The 25,711-nt window shown below is 43.2% G+C and overlaps 1 long non-coding RNA gene across 2 annotated transcripts in view, besides 2 other annotated features; it reads left to right on the forward strand.

Annotated features, from left to right (window-relative positions):
- The window catches only part of LOC107984412 (uncharacterized), a 45,435-nt gene that overhangs the window by 14,110 nt on the left and 5,614 nt on the right, over window positions 1-25,711 (forward strand). The window lies entirely within an intron of this gene.
- Window positions 20,515-21,016: an enhancer, noted in NCBI's record as "H3K4me1 hESC enhancer chr11:131091329-131091830 (GRCh37/hg19 assembly coordinates)". NCBI's record gives its function as "activates a minimal SCP1, AML or CMV promoter by ChIP-STARR-seq in naive H9 embryonic stem cells {active_cell/tissue: H9 hESC(naive)}" and the evidence as "EXISTENCE:reporter gene assay evidence [ECO:0000049][PMID:30033119]".
- Window positions 22,166-22,667: an enhancer, noted in NCBI's record as "NANOG hESC enhancer chr11:131092980-131093481 (GRCh37/hg19 assembly coordinates)". NCBI's record gives its function as "activates a minimal SCP1, AML or CMV promoter by ChIP-STARR-seq in primed H9 embryonic stem cells {active_cell/tissue: H9 hESC(primed)}" and the evidence as "EXISTENCE:reporter gene assay evidence [ECO:0000049][PMID:30033119]".

Here is a 25,711-nt window from a genome sequence, read left to right on the forward strand (position 1 = left end):
TTGTGCATGTACTCTATCAAGCGAGGAAAGCTGTATTTTGCTGGGGTTGGATTGGGGATGAGCAAGTGCCATTTCTGCCACATTGCCAAGAGTCAAAAAGAAAAATGAAAAAAAAAAAAATCTTTTGCCCAGTGAAGGTCTCAGTCCAGAGCCTGGGTCTACTGGCTGTGCCTGCCAATTTCAGGGTTCTAAGGTAGCTCCATCAGAGGATGAGCATCATGCATTCCTGAAAGCAGGATCCTGATTTTTCCTCCCCAACCCCTTTCCATGGCCCCAAACATTTCCACCTACAACCCCCCTTTCCCAAGATGGTTTTCTAAGCTTTGATTTACAGGGTGAAGGGTTGCTAGGAGAAGAAACGGTGGGAGATAAACAGGACGTGTCATGGAAAGGCACCTTCATAATTTCCATTTGAACAGCATATCTTCCATTGGAAGAACACTCTTCCGTACATTATGTCCTTTGATCATCGACCTCTGGAGCTGGCTGGAGCATGTATCAGCTCCTCATTTACAAACAGGTCATGGTGGTTAAGGAAGCTTGGGCCTTGATTAAGACCCTCTAGCTGATAGGGCCACACCCAGCCCTTTACCCAGCATGTGTTCATCCTAGTCTCCTACACTGGGCTGGCTCCTGTGATACACAGAGGACAGAACAGCTCGGCTGTTATGGAACCTCCAGGCTAAAGGAGAACAACCTTTACGTGTAGGGCAAATGTGTCGGCATGTACATGAAGCATGTGAAGGAGGTAACGTGATGGAGTCAGTGTACAAGAATACGCTCAGGGACCCTGAGGTAGAGAGGCCGGCAAAGACATCCTGAAGGTACGGCCTGGGTTGCTGCAGGAGTTGAGTCACCCTGGGGATGCCAGGTTCAGCATCCCCAGCACTGAGCAGCAGTCATGGGGCGCAGGCTCACAGGGCGGCTCAGCTGCTGGGGACACCGCCGTCAGGGATGGCCCTGGCACGTGGCACGTCATGCCGCAGGGGATCTCTGCATCCCAGCACCCCACATTCCTGCTCCTGAGTGGGGCTGCCATTGCCTGGTGCCTTGTCCCGAAGCCCAGTGTCCTGCTGTCTTCCCTTCCAAGTCTGCTCAGTCAACAGCTCTTATTTTTTCTCTCCATTTTTTAGACGACTTTAATAAGAATTATTAGTCTCACAACTGCTTTCTTCAAGAGCTGTATCTGGAATATTTATTCTTTTTTATTTTTTGGTTGTGATACAAAAAGTATGAGTTCTAGTCTCATAAAAATTTTTTAAGTGTACCGCATGTTGTTAACTCTAAGGACAATGCCATACGGCAGATTTCTAGAACTTATTCATCTTGTAGGACCAAAACCTTACACACAGTGAACAGCAAATTCCTCTTTCCTCCCCACATGCCTTGGCGACTGCCATTCTGCTCTTTGCTTCCATGAATGTGACTACTTTAGATACCGCATGGAAGTGAGATCATGCAGTATTTGTCCTTCTGTGTCTGGCTTATTTCCTGTAACACATTATCTTCCAGGTTCATTCATGTTGCCACGTATGGCAGGATTTCCTACTTTTTAAAGGCTGAGTAATGTTCCAGGTCAGTGTTCTTTATCCATTCACCTGTCTATGGACATTTAGGTTGTTTCTATATCTTGGCTCGTGTGAATAGTGCTGCAATGAACATGGGTGTGTAGATAATTTTTGAGATCTTGCTTTCAATTATTTTGGATAAATACCCAGAAGTGGGATTGCTGGATCATATGGTGGTTCTATTTTTAATTTTTTGAGCATCTTACATTTTTCTTGAATCTGGAGTCCATCCTCCTCTCTTATTCCCCCATCTTTCTTAGTTCATTCAGGATCTCATAATTTCTTACATGAAATACTGGTGTCTCTTCCTTCCATGTGTATATTATTTAATTTTTTAAATGGCCATTGTTGTGGAGTAACCAACTTTAGCTATTAATAATGATTTCTCCTGTTTTTTATTTATCCACTTTCTTTCCTCCTTAAAACAATAAGTCAGAAGCACTGGCCAGCACTATGGGCATGAGGGGACCCCTGAGTGGGGGACGGTCCGCCTGCTGCCTGGAATTGCTGGAGCACTTCCCAATCCTTGGCTCAATCTGTGAGGCAGCATCACCTCAAAATCTGTGGTTAAAGTTTTCTAACAACTTTATCAGACAGGACACTTAAAGGGAGTTCCAAAAATGTGATCAGTCTTATGCATCTAAACTGGTGGCTGCAGTTCCCAGATACTAGCTCCGTGTATTATCAATAAATCTGAGAGACACTGAGATGTCATGTTGAAACAGAGCAGAGCCTCATTCCTCTCCCTGCACCACCCTCACCCACAGGAGCCAGAGGGGGCTTGCCAGGAAGTGCATCTCATCATTTCACTCCCAAATTTAAACCCTCAGGACCTCTGCATGTCTGCATATTTGAGGCCACAAGTCTTAGTAGGGTCCTGGGTGCCTCAGCCCCAGCCACCTGTCTCCCCAGCCTGCTTCCTCACTAGCCAGCCTCTCTGTTCTGTTCCCTTCATGGAATCACTTACCAACCGCAGCAGGCCCATGCCCTTCCATGCCCTTTATCAGACAACAGCTCTCCTCTCCCAATCCCCTTGTCTCCTGGGCAACTTCCAATCGATCTTAAACTCTTGTCCTCAGACATGAATTCTTCCAGAAAGCCCTGCCTGATTCCCCGGGCTGGGCCCTGACCCACCTCCCATGGCAACTTCTCAGAGCTGTCAAGCTGCAGGGCAGCTCCACGGTGGGCTTAGCGTTCAGTGGGCCAGGCTGCTGGGCCAGGCCATGATGTGTCAGCGCAGGCTGGTGACAGGCAGAGATGGTCCTTCAGGAGAAACCTGCCCCTCCACTCTTTACAGCACGGAGGGCACATTGGGTAGAGATGAATTTGAGGCCTTTCGAGGGTTGGCTTCCATCAGGCTGCTAGCACAGAAAAATATATACCAGTAGCTTAAAATGAAAGATCAAGAAATAAGGTGTTAGCCAAAGTGACTTCTGGCAAGAAAGGTTAGTACTTTGGGAATAAAGTTTCCTCCCTTTACTTGGGCCTGTGGGTCCTTCTTTTCACTGAGGTCTAATAGGGTTGGGCTCCCTCTGGGCAAGTCCTAGAACCTGGGAGAGAGACAGAGAGACAAGTCTCCCCACCCCCACATCCCCAAAGGAGTAACAAGCTCCAGAGAAAGAGGAGGGAGGGAGCCATAGACCATTATGTGTGATTTCCATTTTCCCATCCCTCATTCTCTCCGTAAGTTCTTTCGCATTGTCACCAGATAATTCAGCCAGCCCTTGGACATGGGGGTGGGAGGTCTTAGACTGGAAAACCTTGAGCTGATAATGATTAGGGACTCTGATCAGTGTCCATCACCACATTTGCTTGATTTTGAGGACTAGATTGGGAAGGGTTGGAAACGGAGGCTGCACAGACGATTGTGCAGAAGGGACGCTGGCATGGGGCATCCAGGGGGTTTGTTCCTTGGAGGGAGATGGCATAAGCTCCCAGCCTCCTCTTGCAGGCAGCAGGCAGCAGGCAAATATTCATCCGCTCTTGGTGGTCCTTGTGGCTGGAAGCCAGTCTTCCATCAGCACTGGCGTCGCTTCTGAGCATCCTTTCTGCTTTTGTGGGCGCATAGCTCCGAGCGAGTGTATGCATGATGTGTGCTGCAATGGGTCCATGCATATATATGGATGAAGAACATAGAGAAGAAAACGTGTTGTTTTCTTTCTTCTCTCTCAAGTGTTTGCCCTCATTTTGTGTGGAAGGGAGCGTCAATTGGAGGATGCCTGGCTCACAATGGTGTGGAGCTTCCCGGGGCCAAACTGAGTGTGTGTGGAGAAGGAAGGGCAGGGAGGGGCTCAAACGCAATCTGCAGAGCGGACTCCTAATCAGAGCAGCCCATTCCACAGGCTGACTGGGAAACGTGAACACCAACCCTCAGCGCTGCCTGGGAACACTTGCTGAGAATACACACCAGCTCCGTGGTCAGTTAATGGTGCTCTTCGGGCTCGGGCCACAGTACAGCGAAGGAATGCAGCCAGGAAATGACAAGGGTGGCGGCTGGGGCAGACCAAAAAGCACAGAGAAGGGGTGAGCCTCACAAGTTGTCAGGCTTCCTGATTTATTTTGTGGAAAATAAAATTCACTAAAAAAATACAATAAAGGGGAAAATAAACAGATTAAAGCCAGAATGAGCCAGCTCCTTGCAAACCAGCCATTCTACTCCTGATGGAGAAGGCAGCTGAGGGAATTAGCGAGCTTAATCCCTCCAGCCAGCAGCTACAGGCCGTCCTGGGGCTGGATAGCTCTGCTTCAAGGTATTCCTTTTAATATGTATTCTGGGGGGATCATAGCATAGGGGAGTGAGGAGCTATAAATAAAAAAATATATATATATATATATATATATTTTTTTTTTTTTTTCTTCTTGTTGGGCTAGACAAGAGTTTCCCAACCACAGCACTATGGAAATTTGGGGCTGGATCATTCTTGTTGTGGGGCCTGTGCCTTGGTGGATGTTTAGCCGTGTCCAAAGTCTCTACCTACCAGATGCCGGTGGTTCCCCTGTTGCCAGATGTAGCAACCAAAAATGCCTCCAGATGTCCCCCAAAGTCAAATGTCCCCTGTGGGGGAGGAATTGCCCCTGGTTTAGGAACCCTGAGCTATACTCTGTTCTGGGACTTGACATGTATTATCTGGCTCAGTTCTCACTGCAGGCACAGTTTTCCCTTCCATTTGACAGAGAAGAAACCAGCCTGGGACTAGTTTCCAGGTCTACCTGATTCCAAGGCCTGGAGTCTTTCTGTTACGGGCCTCTCCACTGGAGCAGAGTCTGTTCCACTATTCCTGACTGATCTGTCCTCTGCATCACAGTCACTAATGGGGGAGCCCTTCTGGGTCCAGTTTGACTTCAGGTGTGACTTCAAGAATATATGGAAGGCCTCCTTTTCCTCTTTTTATATTTTTATTTTATTTTGTTTTATTTTTTTGAGATGCAATCTCGCTCTTGTCACCATGCTGGAGTGCAGTGGCGTGATCTCGGTTCACTGCAACCTCCGACTCCCAGTTTCAAGCAATTCTCCTGCCTCAGCCTCCCAAGTAGCTGGGACTACAGGTGTGCACCACCATGCCCAGCTAATTTTTGTATTTTTAGTAGAGACGGGGTTTCACCATATTGGCCAGGATAGTCTCGATCTCTTGACCTCATGATCTGCCTGCCTTGGCCTCCCAAAGTGCTGGGATTACCAGTGTGAGCCACTGCGCCCGGCCTCTTCCCTCATCTTAACTTCAACCACACCAGATAGTCTATGATTAGAGAGTCTATATTTTAGCTTTAAGTTAAACCTTAGTCTGCTGGGGTAGGTTAGGGGATGGGAGAGGGAAGAACCTGGAAGGGATGATCCATTAAGCTGATTCATATCTCAGTGTGAATAAATTTACTAGACCCAAACTGGAAGTGCCCTTTCCTCCCAGCCCCCACATCAATCAGAATAATGCTGAAGTAGGAGACTTTGTAAGCAAAAGCACAATGGGATATCCCTCCTTCCTGGTATTAGAAACCTTAGAAATAAAAATACTGTGTGCATTCATTAGGTTTCCAGTAGCTCACTATGATAATCTTTGTAGAAATACTATCATTATGGTAGAATTAGTACCACTAGTAGTATTCTCAATGGAGGAAACAGTGCATAAGAACTGAAATGTTTCTAAGTGGTCATCATTGATATGTATTTTTATTTCTCGGTTAAGGGCCTTATCTATTTCTGCCTGAAAATTTTGAATGGTCCATAAACAGGTCTCCCTGGCTCCAGTCTCCAGCCTATCCATTTGTCCCATCTTTGCCCTTCACATTGATGTGAGACTGACTTCCCATATTATAAATCCACCCATGCCTTTCCGCTTTCCATGCTTGGAAGGCTCCCTCTCAAACCTCGAGATAAATTTCACATTCCTTGGCATGACTCACAAGACTTTTCTTAATGTGCGTTAGCCCTACTCCTTGCTACTCCCACATCAAGCTTATATTTCAATCACACAGAACTAATGGAAATTATCCAAATGCATTTGGTTTCCTCATTCCTTTATAAACCTTTGCACCTGCTATACACTCTGCCTGGAATAATTTTCTCATTTTTCTCCATCTGGCTAACTCTTTCTTGTCCTTGAAGACTTAGCAAGGATCTCTTCCTTCCAGACAGTTTCCCTAACTCCCTTTTCCCTTGTCCACTCCATTTGCCCTCCACAGCACCCCATGTAGGCCACAGTGAGATCCCATGTCCTACCACAGGAAAATTACTCCTTCACTAGCCTATGAGCCTCTCCAGAGCAGGGAATGTATCATCATTTTATCCTCAGTGCCTAGCACATGCCTGACATAAAGGAGATGGAAGAGATATTCAATCAATATTTGCAAGATGGCCGGCTAGCTGGCTGTGGTTTAGCCCAATCATTTTCCTTCTTCTTTTGACACCCTGACTTAGATAATACTCAGATTTTTAAATCTATTGAAAACCCTCTCAATCAGATCTTCAGAACTGTTAAATTATTTTGGGGGGATCAGCTATTTTTATTACCCCTCTGTGGAGTGTTAATCAATTAAGCCTCCATGTTCAGCCTCTTCCACCATTCAGATGCTTAAAAGCCAGAGGGACTGAAGTTGGAAAGCAGAGTGGATGTCAGGATTAAAGCAAAGGGAGCATCTTCCACTTTTGCTGGATTTGAAGTTTGCTTCTGATACATGTGCATTGTTTATTATCATTTATGGTTACTTTACAGGTTCAAAATGATGGAGAGTTGTTGATATTGGGTTTCAATCATACCATGAGGTCTTTGTCTTCCTGGTTGGCTATTTGTCTCTTTCCTAACAGCAAGATGTTTCCTTGCATGCTGTAGGTGCTGTATAATTGTGGACCCACTATCTGACTGACATCAGTAGCAGGTTCTTCTGCATGAGGGCAGAGAATGAAAAGAAACCCGATTAGGTTGCCTTATCCTGACATAGGTCGTGGTAAGATTTCAGTCTGCGCCAAGCTGAGCATGCTACACGGAAACTCTTTATTTATTAATTTATTTTGTCTGCCCACCCACCTTTCTTCACAGCTGCAAATGTCTTTTGATAACAACTGTGGATTATGAAGGGTGTTAGAAATGTGTTAGGAACAGAAGGTTCGGAATTCTGTTCAGCTGTTAATAACTTGTGAGTTGTGTCAGCGTGCATAGCAGCAGCAGGCACTGAGCTAGAGATGGTGGCATGGGCACTGCCTCTGGGCCCAATGCCCGTGGACCTCACTTTCAGTGAGGGTTTATCAGGGGTGCTGCTAGCCACCTAAGGGAAGGGTCCTGTGTCATGGGATCCTGGAAGAAATCATGTGTCTGATGTCATCTGCAGAAGGAAAGGAGTTTTCTTCTCCCTTGGCTACAGTAAATCCATTTGTCAGCCAAATGTAGCACCAACTTGGCAGTCCAAATGGTCAGGATGTGAAGGGAATTAATAAAAATTTTATAGTAGCACAAATGAATCCGAAACAGACACTATAGGTAATGGGCTGTGTTCACTAAAAAAAACAAAAGTAACTGAATTAGTATCTCCTTTCCCTATTTAAGTCCAGGGAGAAGGGGCAGGATAATGTTTGTAAGGTCTTTTTGAGGAAGATGGTGTTGCATTGTCCCTGAAGAGGAAGGATTAGATAGTATTGTTTGCATTGCAGAAGCAAAAACTGTACATTCAGAGACAGAATTGGAGCTTTCCCAGAGACAGTTGAGGGAGAGACCCATTCTTCAGCATCCCCAGGTGCAAGGCTGTATTCCTCAAAACAGGCTGTGGGGAACAACATAGACAAGTATACCCAAAGCAGAGTGCCGGAGAGAGGGATAGCAGATGACAAGTACCAAGGGCCAGTGCTGGGCAGAGATGTCTGCAGATGGCTGCAGAAATAGAAAAAATAAATATCGGGACAATCATTTGACTCTATGGAAGGAGAGAGAGGAGGCCTCAAATTATTGAGATTCGTAGCTGGGAGCTTAGAGCAGATTAAGTCTGATTTTGAGAAATAAAGTAAAGTGACATTTATTGGATTCTGGTAGCATACCAGCTACATATTCTCGGAGAGGCTCGGAACGTCATAGAAACATGGGAGCAAAAATAAACAGATTGTTGATGAAACTCCATGTCATGCCAGCAACTGTACATAACATTAGAAACTTGTATTCTGAAAAATTCTGATAGTCCATGTTTTTATAGGGGTTTAGAATTTGTTGCTGCTCTCTAGCTTTCCTCACTAAGAAAGGAGAGAATAGAGAAGTAATTTGGGATCATCAGTCTATTTTGGTTTTTATATGGAAGCCACATTCAAGCTTGCCTCTTGTTGGAGATAAAGGTCTAATCTTAGAATCCATGTCTCACTGCCATGAAGAAGGCCAAGTGCTGTGGTTAAAGAGCACTCACTCTGGAGTAAAAGGCGTGTGCCTGGGTTCCCATCTCTGCTCTGCACCTTGGTAGCTGAAGGACATTGGTGAAGTCCCTTAGCTCTGCACTCTCATGTTGTCTCCATCTGGGAAATGCAGTTCTTAGTAGTCCCTACTTCACAGTGCAGTGGAGGGTTCAGATGTGATGGCACTTGCTTTTTTTCTTTTTCTTTTTCTTTTTTTTTTTTTTGAGATGGAGTCTCGCTCTGTCACCAGGCTGGAGTGCAGTGGCACAATCTTGGCTCACTGCAACCTCTGCCTCCTGGGTTCAAGCAATTCTCCTGCCTCAGCCTCCCGAGTAGCTGGGACTACAGGATCATGGATCATGCCACCATGCCTGGCTAATTTTTGTATTTTTAGTAGAAATGGGGTTTCACCATGTTGGCCAGGATGGTCTCGATCTCTTGACCTCATGATCTGCCCACCTTGGCTTCCCAAAGTGCTGGGATTACAGGCGTGAGCCACCATGCCGGGCTGGCACTTGCATTTTAATAGAGGAGAAAAGAAATACTTATTTCTGTCAATAAAGAAATATTACTCTAGTTTTAAGTAATGAAAAGTGATACAAAATAAGTCAGGCAACAGATTAGAGGGTTGGGCAGAGAGCGGTGGTTCTTTATGTCAGGCGGTCAAGGAAGGCTCACTTCCAGAATGTAAATTAGTACAGCCACTGTGGAGAACAGTATGGAGGTTTCCCAACAAACTAAAATAAAACTACCATATGATCCAGCAGTCTCACAGCTGGGTATATATCCCCCTAAAAGGAAATCAGTCTACTGAAGAGACGTCTGTGCTCACATGTTTGTTGCAACACTGTTCACAAAAACCAACATTTGGAAGCAACCCGAGTGTCCATCAACAGACTAACAGATAGAGAAAACGTGGTACATAGTGGAGTACTATTCAGTCATAAAAAAGAATGAGATCCTGTCATTTGGAACAAGCTGGATGGAATTGGAGGACATCATGTTAAGTGAAATAAGCCAAACACAAAAAAACAAACTTCCTACATTCTTACTTATCTGTGGGAGCTAAAAATTAACATAAGTGAACTCATGGAGATAGAAAGTCGAATGATAATTGTCAGAGGTTGGGAAGGGTAATGGTGATGGGGAGGGGGAAGTGGGGATAATTAATGGGTACAAAAATTTAGTTAGAATAAATAAGATCTGGTATTTGATACCACAACAGGGTGACGACAGTCAATAATAATTTATCATAAATTTGAAAATTACTAAAAGAGTGTAATTGGAATGTTTAAAATGCAAAGAAATGATTAATGCTTGAGGTGATACCCCAGCTACCCTAATGTGATTACTATACATTGTATGCTTGTATCCAAAGACCTCATGTACCCCATAAATATACACATCTACTATGTACCCATAAAAATAACACAGAATAAAATTAAAATAAATTAAGAAAGGCTCACTCTCAGATGGCCTTTTGGCAGAGACTACTGGAGGTGGTGGGGGCAGTGCAGAAATGAGCCGATACACATAAAGCCCAGACTATCTTTCCCGCACAAAGTGAATGTCCCATAACTGCCTGCTGCCCTGTTCCTCAGATATACAGAATCTGATTCAGGACAAAGTGTCTGTTCAGGAACATAGAGCTTGGTAGGATAGACTTTTTACTGTCTTTCTTGTATCTAAGTCTGTAAGTCCACAGGCCTCTGACATTAACACAGGGCATAATAATTTTCTACCTTGGAGATGCTTTAACTATCAAGGCATGGCTCTTGAAAGACTGGACAAGCAAATACAAAGAATGAGATGTAAAAGAAACAAGGGGATACACACAGGGAAGATTAAAAAGAAAGCATGTTTGTGTGTGTGGCGGGGGAGGAGAGTGAGAGAGACAGAGAGGAGGAAGAAAGCAAAGATAACAATGGAAATGAGATGGGAACAGGTGTAGAAATGAAGAGACGCTTTTTAAAAAATTTAATAAATATAAAATAATAAACACAAATATAAACTATATAACTCAAAATAAAGGATGTATTTTGAGTTAATGGGTTGCAGTGGATTCTCAGTGGGTTTTTGAGCCCCGAGTTGCTTGCAGTGCATTAGCTGGACTGTGTAAGGAATTGGCTCCCAGAAAGGCAGGATCATTTGTTCTCAGTTCTGTGTGTTCCCTACCCTCCTACTGCTCTGATGTCAACTTTTGACATTTTCCATCGTGCAATTTATACACTATCACCTGCCAGCCTTCCCATAGTACTCGTGTTTGTTTGATCTCATACAAACTCCCCTCTCCGATCTGTTGATGAAATAATAAATCTGGGACCTTTGAAGATGGTGCACTGCAGGAGAGCACAAATGAAAATCTTTCCTCGATACTTAAGCGTTATGAATGCCGAGCCCCCAGTGCTGATTTGGTCTACATTGTACACTTCCTTTTAGACACATTTAGACAAATCCATCAAGCAGGAGTCCCTAAAAGCCTGTAATTTTCCAGCCAATATGGGCAACACACCACATTGGTAATGGAAGATTCTTGTAAAGCAGCATGATCCTGAGCAAAGCTATCTATTTATTTGATTTAAATTGTTTTAAGTACTTTTGAGTTCCTGGTGCGATGGCAGGAAGCTCACATGATTTAACTGGAAGTCATAGAACTGACCCTCGAAAAACTTACTGTCCCAAAGAACATTGCTTATTGAGGACACTCTTATTTCCAAAACACGTTTTTGATCTCTCACAGCACTAGCTGAAAATCTGAGCAACTCAATGGGTTGTTGAGTACATTTTAGGCTCTTTAACCTGGAATTCACAGTTTTCCCCAGCCTGAGTTCAGGAATCTTCCAGCCTATCTCACTTTTCTCTTTCATGGAAACCTTCTGTTCTGACCCCATTGGCTAACTCATAGCTCCTGAAGGCTACCGGTCCTTACAAACACAATCCCTGCTGTCCATACCAATCCATTCTTGAGAAGTTACTGCAAACCCCACTTTTTCCAAGCATCCTCTTGCTTGTTTTTTCTTCTAAATACACTAGTTTTTAAAGTAGTTTTAGATCACAACAGAATTGAGAGGAAGGTACAGAGAGTCTCCATATACCTATGTCCCAACACGAGCATAGCCTCCCCATTATCAACACCCCCCACCAGAGTGGCACATTTGTTACAATTGATGAACCTACATCAGCACATCATTGTCACCCAAAGTCCATAATTGGCACTGGGGTTCACTCTTGATTCTATACATTCTGTGGGTCTGAACACATGTACGATGCCATGCATCCACCATTACAGTCTCATATAGAGTAGTTCCACTAAAAATCCTCTGTGCTCTGTCTATGCATCTTTCCCTTCCCTTACCCCCTGGCAACCAGTGATCCTATTATTGTCTCCAGAGTTTTGCCTTTTCCTGAATGTCATACAGTTAGCATCATACAGCTCATACAGATTCCTTTTTAGATTGGCTTCTTTCACTTGGTAATATACATTTAAGTTTCCTCCAGGTTTTTTTCATGTCTCAATAGCTCGTTTCTTTTCAGCTCTGAATAATATTCCATTATCTAGGTATATACCACACCTCACTGCTCCTTTTAAATCTCTGGTGGTTCTTACTGTCTAAACCTACTCTGTCAGATGCAGGAGCCACTAGCTACATATGGCTGTTTATGTTTAAAATAATTTAAATTAATCACAATTAAAAATTCAGTTCCTCAGTCTCACTAGTCATTGAAACTGTCAATAGCCACAAGTGGTGAGTGATTACCGCATTTAGACAGCCCAGATGTGGAGCATAGAAGGTTCTATTGGATAGTGCTGCTATGGACTATTGACTTGGTCATTAGATATGATAATGTATTGAGGTTCTACTGTAGTTAAATACTTTGCCATATTAACATGCATTAACTCATTTACTCTTACTAACAACTGTGAAAGGAAAATAAATCTCAGGACCCCGAAATCACTAAGCCAAAGGGAAAAGTCAAGCTGGGAACTGCTTAGGGCAAACCTGCCTTCCATTACATTTTTGGAAAGGGTAACTACTAAGATAAGGAAGCTACATACCTCCCTCACAATTTGTCCATAAGGAAATTCCTTGTGGACAAAGGACAGACAGGACTCAAAGTCATCCCTCTGCTCACATGAGACAAATGCCTATCTGATTGCTTCCTTTGCCCTATCGTTTCACTAAGCCAGATTAAGGCATAAGTGACTATTCCTGTAAATTGTGTATTCAGTGAAAGGCTAATCAGAAACTGAAAAGAATGCAACGATTTGTGTTTTATCTAGCTATGACCTGGAAGCCCCCTCCCAACTTCGAGCTGTCCCACCTTTCTGGACCGAACCAATGTACATCTGACATATATTGATTGATGTCTCATGTCTCCCTAAAATGTAGAAAACAGAGCTGTGCCTCAACCACCTTGGGCACATGTTGTCAGGGCCTCCTGAGTCTGTGTCATGGGCGCGTCCTTAACCATGGCAAAATAAACTTTCTAAATTGATTGAGACCTGTCTCAGATACTCGGTTTACACAACCAACTGAGGATGGTGCTCTTATAATTCCCATCCTGACTCCAAGGCTCTGCTCTTACATAAGTCATTGTCCTACCTCCCATTTGCTGTGATATCTCCTGTCTCTCATTGCCTCAGATTTTACTTCATTTCTAATCATAAAATACCTAAATTGAAAATGGCCTGCAGATTGTCCCTCCCAACACTCTCATTATATAGATGAGAAAACAGAGATCTCAAAATGGGAATACCTTATCCAAGATTGCAAAAGTCAGATCTTTGGCAGAAGAGGGATGAGAAGTGAAGTTCCCTAATTGCCAGTCCGTTGAAGCCTTGTTTAGCCCTGTTTTCTAGAAGGTGGGGGTTGTTTCACAGTTTTGTAGCCCCATAGCAATTAGTATAAAGCCTTTGAATTAGATAGTGTTTGAGACAAAAGTATGCATCTGCATATAAAGCCTTTGAATTAGATAGTGTTTGAGACAAAAGTATGCATCTGCATTTGTCACAGGGCAAGAAGAGCAGGGGGTGTGGTCTAGTTTCCTCAAGCAGGGAGTTGTGGGAGGTAAGATTAAAAGTATCTTTCACACACTTCCCTGGGCTGAAATCTGGCTTCTTCTCAGGACCCAGAGCAGATGTGAGGTGATGTTAAACAATGAGGTGGTAGGCAGTCAATGACAATAACTTATTTATTCAACAGCATTCAACAGATATTTATTCATCGAGCACCCCCTGCATGCCAAATGCTGAGATGGGTTCTAGGGTCCAAGTGTCAGTAAGAAAACCTGGGAAAAGATGTGCACACTCAAAACTAACACTAGGAGACAAAGGACAGTTGGGAGCAGCAGGAGCATGGCTGGGGATGGGAGGAGGAAGAACAAGTTGTCTTTTGCAAAGACAAACCCTGAGGCTGATGAAGCGGCCTCCTCAGAGAATGCCTGGTAAATGCTAAAAGCGAGATCAATTTCTGACTTTTCCACTGTGCAGGAGAAGCCTCCTGACCTCAATGGAGGATCCCTGAGCTATAGGACTGACGGGGGCTTCATATTTGCAGCTGGAATTTACACGCGCCTCTGCCCTCTTCCACGGCCAAGGTTCCCTTCAAATGGACATTTGAGCATGCTCTGATTCTCAGCACTCCCTGGGGAAAAGAAAGAAGAAACCGGGCTGGCAGAATGGAGGTGAGGGAGGAGGTGGCTGTCTTCAGTATGTACTCCCCTCCTGAGCCTGGCCAAGAGCTCATGCACTCTTTCCCCTGCCTTCTTCCTCTGTGTGCCCACTCTTCTGTCACTGTTCCTGCTCAGCCCTCCCTTCTGCCTTGTTTCCTAGCCATCATCCTACTCCAGACCCTGATTTCTAACGACAAAATCTCAGAGGATACTGGCTGCAGCCCAGGGGTGGGTGTTTCCCACCTTTCAGCTCATCTTCTTACCCCCTACCCTTGTCCTGTCTGGTCTATTCTCAGCCCTCTGACCAGAGTGACCCTTTTAAACATTGGTTGCATCATGTCATTCCACAACTCAGAACTCTCTAATGGCTTCCATCCACCCTGAGAGTAGACTCCAGCCCCTTTCAAAGGATGACAAGGCTTTGTGGCCTGACCCCCAGCTGTCACGCTCCCTCCTGCTCAGCCAGTTCCAGCCAAACTGGCCTTCCTGCTGTCCCTCAGGCATCGTGAGCACGCCTGGCCAAGGGCTGCGCTCAGCTCTTCCCTCTTGCTGCACACTCCCCGTAGCTCTCGCTCCTTAGTGTCCTTCACTAGAGACCAGCTGGGTTAGACAGAGAGCTCCCAAGGAGAGAAGATGGGAAAGACGGCCAATGTCACCTTCTCAGAGCACTGTTCCTCAACATGTCTGGTTATCTGCAGCCTCTTTACTTGGTTTGAGTGTTTTTCTCCAGAGCACATATCAGACACGGCTGAATCCAGGGGCTCTGTCACTTTGGAAATCTTGCCCGCCATGCCCTGTTCCAGTGTCATTCCTCTTTCCCCAGCATTGCAAGAGGCCACCTGCTTCTCTCGGCTTTCACCCCCACCCAGCATCCTCCATGCCAAGAACATGCTTCCTAGCCAATGGTTCCTGGAAAAACACAAGAGCTGACTCCCACGGGGCCACGTTGAGATGGGGCCTGTTTACCACTCTGCGTGGTGAGCGGGGAGGACTATTCTGCCTAACTAGGCCTGGGCCTCACATCTGTCTCTGAAAGGAAGTGGGAGTAGAATCAGCTCCTCCCAAAACACAGGGCTTGAGATGGACAGGAAATGGGTCCCGAATGAAAATCTAGGCCCAGTCCACCCATTAGGAGAAGAGGAAATGAGTACTGAACATGTGAAAAGAACCCATATTCACTAGACCCTGCAAACCCTTCCACAAGTGCGTCCAAGCCTCTTCTCCCTAGGGCCATCCTGTCTGCATCCTGCAATTGTTTTGAACTCATTAAATATCCCTTCTGATCTGCTACTTTCCTGTTTGTAAGTCTGTGGTCCTTAGAGGTTAAAGTCCAAATATCCTAAACTAGCATTAGAAGCCCAGCACAGTGGCCTGGCCTCTCCCCTCTGTCTCTGTGTGGCTTCTCTGTGTGGTCCTCCAGATACACTCACTGCCTGCTGTTGCTTCCCATGCTTTTCCTGATGTGCTATGGTGCCTGTGACCTCCTATGTGAGAACTTCCTGCAACGCTCGGACACACTTTGCTAAAACTCTTTAGTGTTTATCATCTCCACATTCTCTGTATCTTCTCTTGCGTTGTTAGGTGTTCACTCGCGACTTCGCCTTCCATTCCCCCAACCCTGCTGTAGGCTACTTGAGAGTGGGGGCCATTTTGCATATTCCTTAGTAGCAAAAATGCTTCCTAGCCAATGGTTCCTGGAAAAAACCTTAGCATATGTTGGGAACTCAAGAAACCATTACTGATTGTGTAAATGCCATCGTCCTAAATTTCAGCCTTATTCCAAAGAAGCTGTTTCCTCTTCACCAAGTCTCCCAGATGGATGCCTGGACCTAGGGTTGTGTTGCATTGAGAAGTCAATGGGTCGTCTGAGAAAGCTGAAAACTGAAAGACTCTCCACTCTGTATCCCCAGCTTCTCCCTGGCTCCTTTTGCAAAGTTAGGATTTTCTCACCAGGGTTTAATATAATCCCCCGAATTTTTGCTATTTGCCTTCTGTTTTCTGGAGACAAGTTCCAGGGCTCTCATCTGGGCTCAAGAGAGTAGAATGTAGATATTCAGAGAAGCAGAATGACCTGCTTTCTGCATCTCTACCCTCTACTCCACTCCTCACCAATTTTGTGTCTCTCAGAGCTCTGCTCCTGTTCTCACTGTCTCTCAGGTACTGCTGGGTATAGTAAACCTTGTCTTCCAGCAAGGAGGTCGGGCTGGATAACTTACTAGCCACGTGACCTTGAGCAAATTATTGCTGTGACCTCTCTGAGTCTCAGTTTTCAAATTTGTAAAATAGGGATATAATATGAATTTCACAACGATTATGCAGATCAAATGAATAAGGAGTGAAAAAGCTTCTAACTGTGCCAGACACAAGGTAAGCACTCAATAAATATTAACTGCTTAGAATCTCTCTGTCGGACTCTGCCTCTCTTTCATTACAGCTGACATGAGGTTGCCATCTAGTGGGCTCCCTGCTGACAGCTGTGAAGGGCTAAGCAGTGATGGGTGCCCCACAAGGACCAAGACCCCAGGGGCTCCTGAGGCAGGCAGCTTGGATGTCTGCCTGAATCTGAGTGTAAGCATTTGGATTTCTCGCTTGTGTGGCTCCATAGCTCAGTCCTGAGGCGAGATCTCTCACACATCTCTGGCGGCTCCTTCCTAACCACGGAGAAGAAACCCTAACCTGACTCTCACTTGGCTCTTGGTCATGCTTCCCACCAACTCCTGCTTTGTGCTGTAGTGGCAAGCAAGGCACGAAGGCTCTGTTTGGTTTGGAGAGTTCAGTTTTATTAAGCTCCAGGTCTCCCCTATTTTCAGCAGTTTTCCTGATTACCAGATGGATTGGGTGTGCTGAGGGGGCATGGCCAGTGTTTCTATGGAGCAGAATACCTTTGAGTGAATGGGAATCAAACAAAACCAAGAGTGCCTCTTTGAGACTAAAATCCTACTATCAAAACAAGCCTTTGGCCAATCAGAACCCTGTTCTTAACCATAAAGAAATTGAGAAACTTGAGGCCACAGAGGAGGAAGAAATTCACCAGCAGGCAGAAGTCATTAACACCACACAGCATGTCAGCACTGTTATGCAGATGCCCCTCCAAAATTATCACTGTGGGCATGCGGCTGGGAGAGTCCTGTATTGGGTGCCTGCCCCACAGAGCTCTGGGACCACATCAACATGTCAAAGCATAATATGAAAGGGTCTCAGGAATCTTGAAGGAAAAACATGCTTAACTTTAGCTGGGCTTTCATCAAATTAGGTTGGCAGGAAAATGCTTTTTTTTTCCTGCATAACCGCTATTAACACTCCATAGAGCTATTGTTTCTCAGAACATATTGTAAACAATACAGAGTTATACACAGCTCTATGCTAGATTGTGTGTAAAACTGTAGGAGTTCATTCATCCACTCAAACATATTTCTGAGCACCTGCTGAGCACTAAACCCTGATGCAGCAATGAGAAGAACACAATTCTTTCCCTCGTGGAGCTTGCATTCTTGGGGGTAGAGACAGGCCATAAGTGAATATGTAAAACATTTGATACATCAGATGGTGATGCGTATGGTGGACAGCAGTAATCTCTACCTGATGTGAAGTGGACAGGGGTTCAAAGGGTGAGGGTGATGGACTGATATTTTACATAGAGTGGTCAGGGAACTTTCTGAAGGAGATTGGCCATGTGGTCATTGGATGGAAAAGCATTCCAAGCAGAGGAAACATCCCTGAGGGCCTAGTTCCAGAGGCTGGAATGTGCTTGCTGCATTTGAAGGATTGCAAGGAAGTCAAGGAGCCTGTCAAGTGAGAGGTGGGGTGTGGGGAGAGGAGATTAAGGGATAAAGGAGGCAATGGTCAGAGTGGGATATTGAAATGATATTGGAAGAGGCTTCAAGAGTGGGGAGAAGGCAGGGAGGTCAGGAGTGAAGGAAAGAGTTGAATCACGTCTGGAGGATGGGTAGAGTGTGGATATTTAAAGAAAAGAAAGGAAGGAAGGAAGGAAAGAAAGAAAAAGAAAGAAAGAAAGAGAAAGAAAGCTTTCTAGACATGAGCAACAGTCATGAAGAAAGATGGAAGGTTGAGAGCAGAGTGTGTCCTCTGAACTTGGCTTCATAGGATGTGGGTTCAAGCCCCATGTGTGTACCTCAGCGTCCACAATGACAGAATGGGAGAGTGGCACAGACCTCCCTGTGATATGCAGTTAATTGTGTGCCAGCATGGCACGTGCTAAAGAAAGGTGAGAGTGCATTATTAAGAGAGGGAGATTTTATCAATGACCCTGCAGAAACAGGTGACTCAGGGATCCAGCACTTCCCCAGCACCAGAGGTGAATGTATGAGCTGCAGTTTTCCTTCCTGATTTAGGGAGAGGCAGGTGGCTGGTCTCTGTGACAGGTGTATGCTTTTCTTGGTCTAAATGGCTTCTCTCAATCCCAACGCCTTAATGAGATATTAATTAGGTATTATTGTCCATCATATTTTAGAAAGTGGGGAACTATGAGAGCACTTAGATGTTCGAAGTATTTCGGCAAATCAGCTCTTGGAAGAAGGGTTGAGATAGAACTGCCTGGTTCTGTTCATATTCTTGTTGAAAACGACTCATTTCCAGAAGTTAGATAAGCTTTCTTTTTTTATTTTTAATTGTGGTGAAATACATGTAACATAAAATTTTTCATATTAACTATTTTTAAGTGTAGAATTCAATAGTGTTAAGTACACTCACATTGTTGTGTAACCAATCTCCAGAAGTCTTTTCATCTTACAAAGCTGAAAGCCATTAATCACCCATTAATCAACTCCCCATTCCCCCTTCCCCCAGCTCCTAGCAACCACTCTTCTTTCTGTCTCTGTGACTTCAGCTGCTTTAGGTACCTCATGTCTCTGACTTCAACTGCTTTAGGCACCTCATGTAAGTGGACTCATACAGTAGTTATCTTATTGTGATTGGCTTTTTTTTCATGTTGCATAATGTCCTCAATGCTGTAATGTGTATTCACATTCATCCATGCTGCAATGTGTGTCAGAATTTCTTTCCTTTTTAAGACTGAACAATATTCAATTGTAGATATATTTGTTTAACCATTCAGCTGTCAAAGGATGCAGCTTGGGTGGCTTTTGCCATTTGGCTATTGTGAATAATGCTGCTATGAACATGGGTGTACAAATATCCGTTTGGATCCCTATTTTCAATTGTTTTAGGTATATGCCCAGAAGGAAAATTGCTGGATCATACAGTAATTCTATTTTTAATTTTTTGAGGAACCTCCATACTGTTTTCCAAGCAGCTATGCCATTTTACGTTCCCATCAGCAGTTCACAGGGGTCCTAAAATCGATATATCCTCCTCAATACTTATTTTCTGTTTATTATTATTATTTTTCATAGTAGCCATCCTCATGGGTATAAAGTTGTGTCTTGTTGTGGTTTTAATTTGCATTTCCCTAATGATCAGTGATGTTGAACATTTTTTTCATGTGCTTATTTACCATTTGCGTACCTTCTTTGGAGAAATGTTTACTCAAGTCCTTTGTCCACTTTTTAATATGGCTGGCTGTTTGCTAGCCAAGCATTTTTATTGACCACTGAGCTAAGGTAATAAGTATAAAGAAATAGGCCAAGCTGGGCTAAGAGTTTATCTGTTCAGACTCCAACATTCCAGCTGGTGACTTCCTCACCAACTCACCGCCATGATCAAGCCTCATGCTCAGGGTGGCTGTGGATGCTCATGGTGAGAAAGGAGTGACTGGTGAAACCAGGAAACCAGGGCAGACTTCAGGACCCCAGCTTTTATCCAAACTGAGGTTGAAAGATAAATTATTTGTGTTAAAAACGCAACAACAAACAACGACGCGTCCTTTTCCTTTTGCCCTCTCGGCCCAATCTGAAGCATTGCCACTACAGCCACCCCAGCAATTATTACCATTTCCCTCTAACTGTCACTGTTACTATCCCCAGACATGGATCAAGGGCTTACTGCGTCTCACATATGCACCCCAAGTGCTTAATACATCTGGCGCCCCTGTGGCTAGAATCAACCTGTATTCAAATCCCATAAGTGAGAAATAACCAGCCATTCAAGTCATTTGAATGGCTGAATATACTACATGTCTGAAAATGAGAAGAATATCTGAGTGTTTCTTTCTCTTATGTTTTCATCCGTACCAGAGAATAATGAAGCTTGTCTTTAAAATTTTTAAACAGAAGCTTTGGTCAGGCTGGGTGGTTTACAGAGATTAACTTAACCTCCTTGTAGTGTTCAGAAACTAACCAGAAGGCTCTCCGAAGCCAAGCAATTTTATAATTAAGTGGTAACTGTTTTTTTTTCTTGGAGGGCTTTTTCTTTCCTGGGTAGCCTAGAGAAAGATAAACAGCTGCAGGAATCAATAAGCATCAAGGTCATAGGCTGAATTATTTACTGATTCTCTGTTGTTTATCTAAAACTTTCCTCTCTACAAGGAAAAACTGTGTCTACTTCACAGAAGATTTAGAACGTACCTGGTTTAGTTTCACGGTTGTTGTTACTGTCTTTACCCTTTTAATGGCTGAGCAACATCACTGCCTTCCTAACAGAGCCTCGCAAATGGGAGAATGGAAGGATCTGATGACCCGGCTCATTCACCAAGCTGGGTCAGGATGGGGGAAGCCTGAATGGGCTCTGAGCAGTAGGAAGCACAAGGTGGGTGAGGTGAACCACAAAAGATGTGAGCCAACTGCACACAGGTTCATCATTGTGCATCTCCCTGGCGGCTGCAGCGTCTTCCATCGGGTCTCCAACTTTCTTCTTTTCCATGCTCCACCCACAATGGATTCTCCAGTCTATCATCAAAATGGTCTCTTCTCGGCTGGGCGTGGTGGCTCACGCCTGTAATCCCAGCACTTTGGGAGGCCAAGGCGGGCAGATCACGAGGTCAGGAGATCGAGACCATCCTGGCTAACACGGTGAAACCCCGTCTCTATTAAAAATACAAAAAAGTCAGCCGGGCTTGGTGGCAGGCTCCTGTAGTTCCAGCTGCTGGGGAGGCTGAGGCAGGAGAATGGCGTGAACCCGGGAGGTGGAGTTTGCAGTGAGCAGAGATGGTGCCACCGCACTCCAGCCTGGGCGACAGAGTGAGACTCTGTCTCAAAAAAAAAAAAAAAAAAAAAAAAGATATCTTCTCAACCCTCATGTGTTAAGACTTTTGTGAAGAAGTCTTCTGGGCCTTCCTCGTCCTCTCTGGAGTATCTAAATCAATCTACATTCTCTGTGAGTGCTGCAGCTGCTGTCCCCCTGCACATTTCCTGGCCACAAATCCGGTTGCTCTCTGCCTTTCTCCCTAAACTCTTACCATACATCTTTGAGTTCCTCAAACACACCTTGCTCTTTCCCCTCAGGTTGTACTCAACTGTTGGTTCTGCTGGAATAACTTACCTCTCCTTCCCAGGGCAGGCCCTCCTCATCCAAGTTCTAACAGCCCATACCTTTTGAAGCTAACACATTTCACAACCCTCATTAGTGGTCTTGAGTCGTTGCAGGTGAAAAACCATGTCCACGCGATGTCTATTATATCACTAATAATAGTTCAATGCTGAGCCCATAATAGATAGTCAATAAATATTTGTGTAGCTAATAAAGGAGTCTCGTAAGTTACCATGGACTACTGAGAAAGAAAAAGAGCTCAGAGAAATGTCGCCCACTAAAATGTTGCTGTAAAATTCTAACTGCCTGTCTGAAAGCACCTTGCTTGCCTTTGATTGAACTTCACACTGACAGGAAATAGGTGTGACTGCTGCAAGAAAGCACAATATTTTAAAATTTAGTACTAAAAACTTGATATATTAGGAGACAGTTGTCTATTCATGAGGATTGTGATTCCTCTAAGCAAAACTGGCCACTTCCGTGTATTTTACTATTGGATCAATTTGTATACAGCCTTCAAGGAATATACCAGTTCTATAAAACAACAAGACACCTGTATCAAAAATACCCACTTTTTGATGGGTCACTAGCTCTTTCGAATATTAGCATGTTGGTTATCAGAGAAGGGAGTACAAGGAGCTTGGAGGGACAATGTAATCTTGATATGCCGGCCCTCTACCAATTCTGAATTAGCTGAGTTAGAAGCACCTACATCCAAAGTCAAATTGACTTATTGTTATTTCATGTTCTTTTCAGGCATAGTCACAGTTTGTTTTGTTTTTTCCTGTGGTAGGTAAGGCTGATAGGTAGCTCTGAGTTTGCTAAAGCACCTCTATAAATCTAAATGGTGCCAAGTATTTGGATGAAAGCTATTTGAGATTATGTAAGTAAAATATCTGCATAAATAGCACAGGAGTTTTCTTTTCACTTGTATTTTGGGTGCTTTGCAGATGAATTGAAAACATGTGGTTTCCTGGTTGGAAGATGTTACTCTCAGGCCTTGGGTGTTAATTGTGGTTCCAGGCCAGGCACCAGATCCTTGCTCAGTGCTCTCTACTAGCCAGGAATGGTTTTTGAAAGAGCTTCTTGATCTGCATTAAGGGTGTAGATCCCAATGATGTATTCATTTTCTCTTTTTCCTTTCTCTCTTCTTCACCCCAGCAACTATTAATGAACTCAAAATCAATCTGTCTGGTTGCTTGATGAGATTAGAGGACTTTCACTTGTCTTGTAACTGCTCATAGGAAACCAGATGCAGCAATCAGTTTATTGTGAACTCTCTTTCTCTCTCTGTATCTCTGCTATTGATTAAGTAATGCCACCCTGGGGCTTGTTCCTGATAAAGCTGCTTCAGAGAAAGCAAAATGATGGGCCTCCACACAATCCTGGCAATTATTCTCCATCCCAGCACCAGAGCAGGGATGGCTTAACATAAGCAAGGCAACATGTTGATGCTAAGCAGTCCCTCCTGAGAATCTTGGTTTTAATCTGCAATAGTGTTTATTTTGAGACAAGATTTTTCCAGAGGTTAGGCAGGGGCTGGGAGGCTCTACAGGCTATACCACTGGCTGTTTGAAAGGATTCAAATAACTTGATAGTAGGAATCCAATTCAGCTTTGCTGAGTGTTCCAAACTCCAACCCTTCATATGATCTTAATTATTCTAATCCTAATATACAGGGACTGAAGGTTAGTTATGTCTCCATAATGACTCCTGAGGACAAAAGGAGAGTGTTAGAAACAGGAAAACAGGGGCAGCTGAAGCTGGGAGGCAAGAAAATCTGCAGCCCAGAAGAAGCTAGGTGTGGGGCCAGGCTTAGGAAAGCCTGTGTAGTATGGAGAACTGGAATCTATATATGTCTATTGTTTTCTTTTACTGAAAATCCGCATTAACAGCTTTCCCTAGGGGGTCTTCACTTCTTTAGAGACTAACAATCAACTGCATGTGTTTTAAAGAAGTAAGTGGACTCTATCATGGATAAAGTTCGCGACAGTAAAAGTAGGGGCTGGATTCTTTTCCAGAGTCCTTGTTCCCAGTTTAAAAAGTAACAGCAATTTCTCATTGTTTTCTTTAAATAGGGATAATACAGGGATTGCAGGAGAAATTTGAGTTACTACACAAATTTATCAGCTCTCTTGGGCAAAGAAAATTAAAGAGGTACTATACAGTATTAGTTAGGATTTATTGTAAGCTGCTATTACAAAGAAGGCCACCCAGTAATGTAGAGCTTAAACAAAAATGGAAATCTCAGCCACTTTATCACAGTGTTTCTCAGCCAGTGGGAAGATGGACAGAAGCATGGAGCTCACATACAGATTCCTTTTAAAGCACAACCAGGAAATGACAGAGCTTTGTCACATGGCCGCACAGCCAGGCAAGGCTGGAAAGTCAGCCTTCCGCTGGGTACCAATGTTCCGAGACTAAAGACAGGAGTTCTGCTATTAAAGGAAGAAGGATAAAGTGATATTGGTGGACAATTTGAAGGCTGTGCCACACGTAGAAGTAAAGTAAGACAAAATGGAACTCAAACTAACATATCAATCTGCTTGGATCAAGATAGCAACTGAAGAATAAAAGAGAAGGACTAAAGAGAACTTTAGATAAATAAAATAAATTAGATGAAGAGGGGCAAACAAAGTTGTATATACTGGAAGGAAGGATTGGAACAGGAAAGGAGTACATAGTCTACTTTCTAGTTTTTAAAAATTCAAGTCCAAAGTAGCTGAAACAGGGCTTAACTTTAATCAGCTGGGATGCTTGATAATAGGAATCCCATATGAAAATTCATTTTAATTGGGCTGGAATTGAAAATCTATAATTCTGTAGCCCTTTATTTTGAAATGCCCTTCTTTATTCATGGTAATATCTTTGGTTCTACTTCGTTTTTTATATTAATATAGCATCTCCAGCTTCCTTATGGTTAATTTTTGCATGACATATGTTTAAAGCACATCTTTTTTTGATATTAAAAGATTTCTAGTAGACAACATGTAGTTTGGTATTGCTTGTGTATTCAGTCTGACAACATTTGCCTTTTTCTTTGTGCATTTAGACCATTTACATTTAATATAATTATTGATATAATTGGTTTTAAGCCTATCATCCTACTACTTGTTTTGTATTCGTCTCATGTGTTCTTTAGATTTATTTCATCATTTTCTGCTACTATTTGGATAAAAGATAGATTTTCTACTATTCCATTTATATCCACCGTTGGCTTATTAGCTATATATCTTGTTTACTTTTCTTTTAATGGTTGTTCTAGGGTTTATAATATGCACTTAAGGTATCATAGACTGCCTTGAAATAATATTATTTCTTGTGTAATGTAAAAAATGAAATGAATGTCCTTACATTTCCCCCTCCCATTCTTTGTGCTGTTGTGATCATACATTTTACTTCTACATATATTATAAAATCCCATTATACATTGGTTTCTTTTTGCTTTGAACATTCATTTATCTGATAAAGAAATTAAAAAGAAAAAAGAAAATATTGGCCTCTTTAAGTGCTCTTTTTTTTATGCGTAGGTCTATGTTTCCATCTGTCATTATTTTCCTTCTGCCCAAACAACTTGTTTCAATATTTCATATAGGAATGATTTACTGGTAATAAATTCTTTCAGTTTTTGCTTGTCTGCAAAAGATTTTATTTTGTCTTCATTTTTAGGGACTATTTTCACTGAATGTAGTCTTTTTCTCTTTTTAATAGTTTTAAGATGTTATTCTATTGATTTAAAGCTTGCATAGTTCCCTGCTCCAATTTTTATTACATAAAGTGACTTCTTTTTCCTCCAGCAGTGTTTAATATTTGTTTAATATTTTGTCTTTATCACCAGTTTTAAGCAATTTGATTACAATGTGCCTCAGTGAGGTTTTCTTTGTGTTTATTCTGTGTGGAGTTCATTGACCTTATTTCATTTCTGAGTTTATAGTTTTTATAAAATTTTTTAAAAACTTGAGCCATTATATTTTAATAATAATTTTATACCTTATTCTCTTTTCCTTTTCTTTCTACTACTCCTGTTACATGTACATTAGGCCGCTAAATATTGTCCCCAAATCACTGTGGCTCTATTTATTTTCTTAGCAGTCTTTTTTCTCTGGATGCTTTATTTTAGGTAGGTTCTATTATTGTCTTCACGTTTACTGGTCTTTTCTTCCACAGTGTCTAATCTGTTGTTACTTTCACCCAGTAAAACTATTACTTTATAAATTGTAGTTTT

Source organism: Homo sapiens, chromosome 11 (genome assembly GCF_000001405.40).
Source record: "Homo sapiens chromosome 11, GRCh38.p14 Primary Assembly".
In the NCBI taxonomy this organism is placed as follows: Eukaryota; Metazoa; Chordata; class Mammalia; order Primates; family Hominidae; genus Homo; species Homo sapiens.